Here is a 7823-nt window from a genome sequence, read left to right as displayed (position 1 = left end):
CAGCTTCTGCCTCCTGGGTTCAAGTGATTCTCCTGCCTCAGCCTCCCGAGTAGCTGGGATTACAGGCATGCGTCACCACTCCCGGTTAATTTTTTTGTATTTTTAGTAGAGACGGGGTTTCACCATGTTGGTCAGGCTGGTCCCAAACTCCTGACCTCAAATGATCCACCCGCCTTGGCCTCCCAAAGTGCTGGGATTTCAGGCGTGAGCCACTGTGCCTGGCCTTCCATTTAATATTTTTAAACCATGTGAACTCATGATAGAAATTTTCAAACATATGCAAAATTGGAATAGTATAACATTCCATCTCTCCATCACCCAGCTTCAATAATTGTCAACTCATGGACATTCTAGTTTCCACTGATAGCCTCTATCCATATCCTCCTCACTTATCATTACATGTAAATTACAACAACTTATAATTGTACCTATAAATATTTCACTGTGTACATCTAATAGATAAGTACTTTATTAAAAGCCCCAAACCACATTACCATTATCACACCTAAAGAAACTCAGGCCTTTGACTATGAGTTTTCTGAGAAGACTCTCCCTGAACCTACCTAGAGCCACGGCCAAGATAAACTCTTTTCCATGCTGTCTTCTTCCTATACAGATTTTTTTTTTTTTTCCTGTCTCACTGTTTCCCTATGGTGTAGCCCTTTGTGGAGGTCCAGCTTTAAAAGCGGGTCTCTGATCTTACTCCTGGCTCTTTGTCTGGTTCCCAGCAAGTGGTCTAAACTCTAGGCACCAGGGGTGAAATGGTGCCCTCAGGGCAGCTGAGGATTCAGAGCTGATGATTACCCAGCATTGCCTCTTCTCACAAGGATTTCCCTTTGTTGTTGTTTGACTTTCTTTTTGTAAGCTCATCCAGGCATTGTAAAGGGTGAAGCTGTTGTGCACTGGAGGATTTCAGTATATTTAGGTTACCTTCTTCCTGGAAATCCTGAACTCATACTTAATCATATAGTTTTAGAATTATCATTTAACGATCCCTTATCTAGAATTTTGAGCAGAAATAATGGGGTGTCACATGGAGAATTCCTCCATAAAATGATGTTAAACCTGAGACTCGAAGGATGCGTATAAGAGGGGGCTGGGTAAGGAGCAGGGGAGACACAGTGTTTTGAAAACTGGGAAGAGTATTTTAAACAGAGGTGGCAATCATATGAAGCCTTTGTGGTAGGAAGGGGAGGCACAAAGGAAGAAGGCTCAGTATGAACCAACCCAGAAAGACCTGCTCCATCCAGCCTATTAGGCTGGGTTGGAGCAATGAGATTCCCACTGCAGTTGAAATCTTTGGTGTGATTTCCGTAGGCAGCCTCTCTTATCTTTATAAAGGTTCCAGGATGTACAGAGGACCTTCCCCACTCTCTTCAACAGCAAGAGGTTATTCTCATTGTATCATTTAGGACACTGTGGATGGAAAACCTAAACTGCCCACAAGCTTGGGTCCATGCTTAATAGATGAGATTACCCTGTACATTTATTAAGACTTAAAGCAAATGGCTGGTCTGGGTGGCAAATACCACACCCTCAGACTCCTTTACTCAATGTCCCACCTTCCTTTTCTTGTGCTGTTTGGGAGGCATTTTCCTCAGCAGGTAACTGCATCCCCAAACTAACGCAGGAAGCTTGGGTGGCTTTCCCTTGGGGGGCAGCTGCCTGGGAAGGCAGCCAACTTGCCTTTTGGTCTTCTGAGGGAAAGCCAGGGTACAGGTTGGGGCTGGGGAGAGGGGGGCTCAGCCCTCTCATATGCCTGCCAATAGCCTTGCACACTTATGTTACCAGCATCACTTTATTAAAAATACAAGTAGAATGACTCCATTAAATATCATTTACTTGGTGGTTAGTAGACTTTAAAAGAACTCACTCAAATAATGCATGAACTGTATTTCTCTTTTTTTAGAGAATGCATTGGTTTCCCAGGGTTGCTGCAGCAAAGTACCACAAATTGGAGGACTTAAAACAGGAGAAAGTTCTTCTCACACAGTTTTGGAGGTTCAAAGTCCAGAATCAAGGTGTTGGCAGGGTTGGCTCCTTCGGAGGGCTCCCAGGGAGAATCTGTTCCATGGCCCTTTCCTAGCTACTGGTGTTGCTGGCAGCCCTTGGCATTCCTTGGCTTGTAGGTGCATCATTCCAATCTGTGCTTCCATCTACACATGGCTTCTCCTTGTGTGCATTTTTTTTTTTTCTTTTCAGATGGGGTTTCGCTCTTGTTGCCCAGGCTGGAGTGCAATGGCACCATCTGGGCTCACTGCAACCTCCGCCTCCCAGGTTCCAGCGATTCTCCTACCTCAGCCTCCCAAGTAGCTGGGATTACAGGCATGTGCCACCATGCTCGGCTAATTTTGTATTTTTAGTAGGCACGGGGTTTCTCCATGTTGGTCAGGCTTGTCTTGAACTCCTGACCTCAGATGATCCGCCTGCCTCAGCCTCCCAAAGTGCTGGGATTATAGGCGTGAGCCAGTGAGTCACTGTGCCCGGCCCCTTGTGTGCTGCTTCTTTTGTTTTTGATATGGAGTCTCGCTCTGTTGCCCAGGCTGGAGTGCAGTGGCATGATCTCGGCTCACTGCAAGCTCCACCTCCCGGGTTCACTCCAGTCTCCTGTCCCAGCCTCCCGAGTAGCTGGGACTACAGGCGCCCGCTACCATGCCCCGCTAATTTCTTTGTATTTTTTTAGTAGAGATGGGGTTTCACCATGTTAGCCAGGATGGTCTTGATCTCCTGACCTCTTGATCCACCCGCCTCGGCCTCGCAAAGAGCTGGGAGCCACCACGCCCGGCCCCTTGTGTGCTTCTTATACAGACAACAGTCATATTGAATTAAGGACCCAGTGTAATTGAGTATGACCTCATTTTAGCTTAACTAATTACATCTGTAATGATTCTATTTCTAAATGAACTTACCATCTTTTCTTTTCTTTTCTTTTCTTTTTTGAGATGGAGTCTGGCTCTGTCACCCAGGCTGGAGTGCAGTGGTGAGATCCTGGCTCACTGCAACTTCCACCTCCTGGGTTCAACTGATTCTCCTGCCTCAGCCTCCCAAGTAGCTGGGATTACAGGCGCCTGCCACCACGCCTGGCTAACTTTTGTATTTTTAGTAGATACGGGGTTTCATCATGTTGGCCAGGCTGGTCTCGAACTCCTGACCTCAGGTGATCTGCCCGCCTCGGCCTCCCAAAGTGCTAGGATTATAGGCATGAGCCACTGCGCCTGGCTAAAGTTACCTTCTGAATGAAGTATTGGGGGTTAGGACTTCAACATATCTTTTTGGGGCATGCAACTCAACCCATAACAGAGAAAGACAATATATGTGAAATACAGTACTATGATCTCTGTGGTACAAAGTTCTCTCCTCAGCAATCTGGCAGAATGTCATCTGCTGGTTTTAACCTCTGGTATTCTAGGCTTCTGTGTCAGGATATAACAGCCTGACTCCTCAAAGAAGGCAAATACTTTCTCCTCATTTTCCTTACTCATGAACTCAGGCAGAGTCTGGGTTTGCCAGAGTCAGTGTCCATGGGTTTCCGTCATTTATGAGGCCTTTACCTACAGACGCAAGGCCTGGCTCATGAGAACTCTGGCAAGAAGATTTAAAGTCACAAGCAAGGGGTGAGAAATACTAGAATCTTTTTGGAACCGATTTTGGAGTGTGATGGGATCTTATTTTATAATTATTCCAAATGATTATCCAGTTCTCTCTCTATTCTTTTTAGGGAATAGATGCATAGCATGTTGATTTGAAAGTGCCTCCCCTTATTACACACTAAAGTTTTATGTATATTTGTGTCTTTCCATTTAGAGTTGTAAGTGTCCTTCAGAAAGTGCTGAAGTTTTAGCCTAGGCAGCAGAGTGGGACCCCATCTCTATAAAGATTTTTTTTTTTTTAATTGACAGGAGTGGTGGCATGCCCCTGTCGTTCTTGTTTGCTCGGGAAGTTGAGGCAGGAGGATTGTTTGAGCCCAGGAGTTCAAGACTGCCATGAGCAATAATTGAGCTATCATGCCACTGCACTCCGGCCTGGGTGACAGAACAAAATGGCTAAAAAAATACAAAGTGCTGGGGCCAGGCGCGGTGGCTCATGCCTATAATCCCAGCACTTTGGGAAGCGGAGGCAGGTGGATCACGAGGTCAGGAGATCGAGACTATCCTGGCTAACACGGTGAAACCCCGTCTCTACTAAAAAATATAAAAAATTAGCCGGGCGTGGTGGCGGGCGCCTGTAGTCCCAGCTACTCAGGAGGCTGAGGCAGGAGAATGTCGTGAACCCGTGAGGCGGAGATTGTAGTGAGCCGAGATTGCTCCACTGCACTCCAGCCTGGGCGACAGAGCGAGACTCCATCTCAAAAAAAAAAAAAAAAAAGCTGAAATTTTGTTCATCTACATTCTGCACCTTTATTTCTTGCTCTTTTGCTTGTTGTTGCTATTGTTACCAAAAGGAAAACCTTTTTGCTCATTGCTTACTTCTAGAATAAAAAAAAAATTCAAACGATTTTTTTCCGGTTATTTTGTAATCAGGTCTAATTAGCTCTAATACTTTTTCAGATGATTCTTTTTGTGTTCTCAGTGTAGATCTTCACATCTTCTGAAAATAGTAATACCATTCTTCAATTATTGTCTGCACTTTCTTGCTTCAAGGTCTTTGATTCTGAAGTTATTGTCTGAATTTCTATCATTCCTGTCGTTCAAACGCCTACTCTTCATCAGGACCCAGTTCCTCTGTGAAACCTCGTTTAACGTCCCAGGAAGAGTTAATTTCCCTCTCCTTGAACTTCCAGAAAACTTGGTACATGCCTTTTATTATAACCGTATCATACTGCATTGTAATTATCTGCTTATAAAACTGCTTTCCCCAAGAAAACTCAAAACAACACACGTTTCTTCTCTAGGCCATGAGTCAAGCTGGAGGTGTTCTCTGTGGAAGAGGGAGGAGTGATGCTCTCTTATTCATCCAGGTGTTCCCTGTTCAGCAGTTTGGTACCGACAGAGAAGAGAGAGGGCGGGGGTGCACTAGGAAATCAATGAGTAGACAAGGGAGCCCACCAGTAGGGGACATGCTGGAACCAGATCTAGGACCCTGGCTTTTCTGCCCCACTGTTATGCCTCTCCAGATGCTGAAATCCAGTTCGGGGACCTATCGTCTCTGGGCTGCCTTTTAGCTCTTGTGGGACTTGATTAACTTGGAAAAGTGGCGCCACTCTGTGCCCTGTACCCTTCCCACGCCTCACTATGCCACAGCCGCAGGCCCAGCCAGGGTTTCACCCACGCGTCCCCGGGAAGAATCGCGCCACCTAGAGGTCCAACATGGAACTCCTCTTCCTGCAAGTTGGTTCGCGGCCTGAATTCCAATCCCCCAGCCGGCGCCGCCGTGGCGCAGGTCCATCTCCTCCCGCGCAGTGCTAGGTGTTTGAGGCGCGGTCTCCTGGCTAGAGGCTGCCCAGGCGTTATGGGGCCACACTTGCTGAGGTAGAAGCTGGGTCTGATCTTCCTCTGCTCCCCACTGCGAATTCTCAGGTGGGCCAGAACAAGTGGCAGGAAGAAGGCTCGCGGCTCGCGGTGATTCAGCCGGGTCGCCGCTCTGGGATCCTCCCTCTCACCAAGAAAGCCTCCGGGAAGCCCGGGGTTACCAGGCGCGGGAAACAAGGCGGCTTTATTTTGCATAATGCCTTCGGACAAACGGCCCGGGAAGGCGGCGGGGGAGGCGGCTGGCAGGCCTGGAATGCACACACCTGTACCTGAGAAGGCTCCTTTGAATTCCTTCTGCTCTGTGGTCTCCTGGGGGCTTCGCCGGCGGCAGTGGGTGGGAGTTTGGCAGCCTGTGCCCTCGGGAGGAGCACCCCACCCAGACCTCCAAGTGGGGCGGCCACCGGGGGAGGGGAGGGGTGGCGCCAGCCTGTTTATGAACTTCCCTCCCCCACTCCCTCTCCACCTGCAGTTCCCACCCCTCCTCCTCCCCAGACCCACTGGAAGCAAAGCTTTCGGGAAAGAAATAGTTCGATGACAGTTTCCTGAAGGGATTTCAGGTCGGGAACGGGGCGTCCAGCGCATGCGGCGGGGCCCTTTGTCCTGCCAGCCTGAGTCTGGCTTGTCCTTTTTCTTGCTTCCCAGTGCTTCACCTGACAGGTGAGGAAACTGAAGCCCAGGAAAGTCGGCTTTCCAGCGATGGGTGGCAGAGCAGCATTCGTATCTGTTTACCTTTTCTAGCCTGTTCTGTAAAATTATTTCATAGCTTAGCCTTGCTTGACATTATCAGGTTAGTACTGCGCACAAATCAATAGTTGGGAAACTCCACCTGAAAGGCACTCTAAGGTGGTCATCGGAAATATTGTATTCTTTGAACCTGGCCTAGTCCTCCAGAAGGCGGCCCCACCCCATCTGCAAGGAGAAGTCCATCAGGTGTCACTCAAGAGAGGAGGGAGGCGAGGACCTCCTTCCCTTCACCCTGGTCTCATCAGCCCCTGCACGTGCCTACCTTCAGCCAGAAGGTGGCCAAAGTAGGAGGGAAACACATCAATTACATAAAGTTGTTCAGGCTATCCTTCTAGCAGTTGCTTTCCTTTAAATCTGCAGAGATCCTTTCAAAAAGTTCAAGGACAAAGCGGGTTGTTGTTGTTGTTTTGAGATGGAGTCTCACTCTGTCGCCCAGGCTGGAGTGCAGTGGTGGGATCTCGGCTCACTGCCACCTCCGCCCACCGGGTTCAAGCGATTCTCCTGCCTCAGCCTCCCGAGTAGCTGGGATTACAAGGCGCCTGCCACCGCGCCCGGCTAATTTTTGTGGTTTTAGTAGAGGAGGGGTTCACCATGTTGGCCCAACTCCTGACCTCGTGATCCACCGGCCTTGGCCTCCCAAAGTGCTGGGATTACAGGCGTGAGTCACCGCGCCTGGCCCAAAGCGGGTTTTCTTCTGAGTCAGGGCAGGCAGAGGTGAGAGACAGTGCTCAGGGACCCAGAGCCAGTCACAGTTCAAGCAGAGCCCCAGGAGAAAGGGAACCAGAGCGGGTGGCGGCCCCTATGGCCCCAGGCCACCACCTCTCCTAGAATGGGGAGGTTGTATCTCACTTCCGGTGGATCCCTCTGCAGCTAGAACAGAAAGACTCAAGGCTGCATTCCGTTTTTTTCTTTCTTTTTTTTTTTTTTTGAGACGGAGTCTTGCTCTGTTGCCTAGACTGGAGTGCAGTGGCATGATCTTGGCTCACTGCGACCTCTGCCTCCGGGGTTCAAGCGATTCTCCTGCCTCAGCCTCCCGAGTAGCTGGGACTACAGGCGTCCGCCACCACGCCCACCTAATTTTTGTATTTTTAGTAGAGACAGGGTTTCACCAAGTTGGCCAGGCTGCTCTCATGATCCACCTGCCTCAGCCTTCCAAAGTGCTGTGCTGGGATTACTGGTGTGAGCCACCGCGCCTGGCCTTTTTTTTTTCTTTTCTAACTTTTATTTTAGATTTAGGGGGTACATGTGTGAGTTTGTTACCTGGTTATATATTGCATGATGCTGAGGTATGAGGCATGCATGAGCCCACCACCCAGGTACTGAGCATAGTACCCAACAGCTTTTCAACACTTACCCTCCTCCCTCCCCCCACCAGTAGTTCCCAGTGTTTGTTGTTCCCATCTTTGCATCCGTGTGTAACGTTTAGCTCCCACTTATAAGGGAGAACACGCAGTATTTGATTTTCTGTTCCTGCATTAATTCGCTTAGAATAATGGCCTCCAGCTGCATCCATGTTGCTGCAAAGGACACGACTTCATTCTTTTTTATGGCTGCACGGTAAGGCTCCATTCTTGAACAAGGCCTGGTGCAGAATGAGAAAGTGAGTGAGGA

At 48.8% G+C, this 7823-nt stretch overlaps 5 annotated features.

Annotated features, from left to right (window-relative positions):
* Nucleotides 448-1078: an enhancer, noted in NCBI's record as "NANOG hESC enhancer chr2:88654876-88655506 (GRCh37/hg19 assembly coordinates)". NCBI's record gives its function as "activates a minimal SCP1, AML or CMV promoter by ChIP-STARR-seq in naive H9 embryonic stem cells {active_cell/tissue: H9 hESC(naive)}" and the evidence as "EXISTENCE:reporter gene assay evidence [ECO:0000049][PMID:30033119]".
* Nucleotides 2596-3096: an enhancer, noted in NCBI's record as "H3K4me1 hESC enhancer chr2:88652858-88653358 (GRCh37/hg19 assembly coordinates)". NCBI's record gives its function as "activates a minimal SCP1, AML or CMV promoter by ChIP-STARR-seq in primed H9 embryonic stem cells {active_cell/tissue: H9 hESC(primed)}" and the evidence as "EXISTENCE:reporter gene assay evidence [ECO:0000049][PMID:30033119]".
* Nucleotides 4245-4393: a silencer, noted in NCBI's record as "fragment chr2:88651561-88651709 (GRCh37/hg19 assembly coordinates)". NCBI's record gives its function as "represses an EF-1alpha promoter that drives an FKBP-Casp9 reporter gene in an ReSE screen in HepG2 liver carcinoma cells {active_cell/tissue: HepG2}" and the evidence as "EXISTENCE:reporter gene assay evidence [ECO:0000049][PMID:32094911]".
* Nucleotides 5211-5505: an enhancer, noted in NCBI's record as "tiled region #3520; K562 Activating DNase unmatched - State 4:PromP". NCBI's record gives its function as "activates a minimal TATA promoter and a strong SV40 promoter by Sharpr-MPRA in K562 cells {active_cell/tissue: K562}" and the evidence as "EXISTENCE:reporter gene assay evidence [ECO:0000049][PMID:27701403]".
* Nucleotides 5498-6127: an enhancer, noted in NCBI's record as "H3K27ac-H3K4me1 hESC enhancer chr2:88649827-88650456 (GRCh37/hg19 assembly coordinates)". NCBI's record gives its function as "activates a minimal SCP1, AML or CMV promoter by ChIP-STARR-seq in naive H9 embryonic stem cells {active_cell/tissue: H9 hESC(naive)}" and the evidence as "EXISTENCE:reporter gene assay evidence [ECO:0000049][PMID:30033119]".

Source organism: Homo sapiens, chromosome 2 (genome assembly GCF_000001405.40).
Source record: "Homo sapiens chromosome 2, GRCh38.p14 Primary Assembly".
Lineage (NCBI taxonomy): Eukaryota > Metazoa > Chordata > Mammalia > Primates > Hominidae > Homo > Homo sapiens.
Note: the sequence above shows the minus strand (reverse complement) of the source record. Positions and strands in the feature narration are given on the sequence as shown.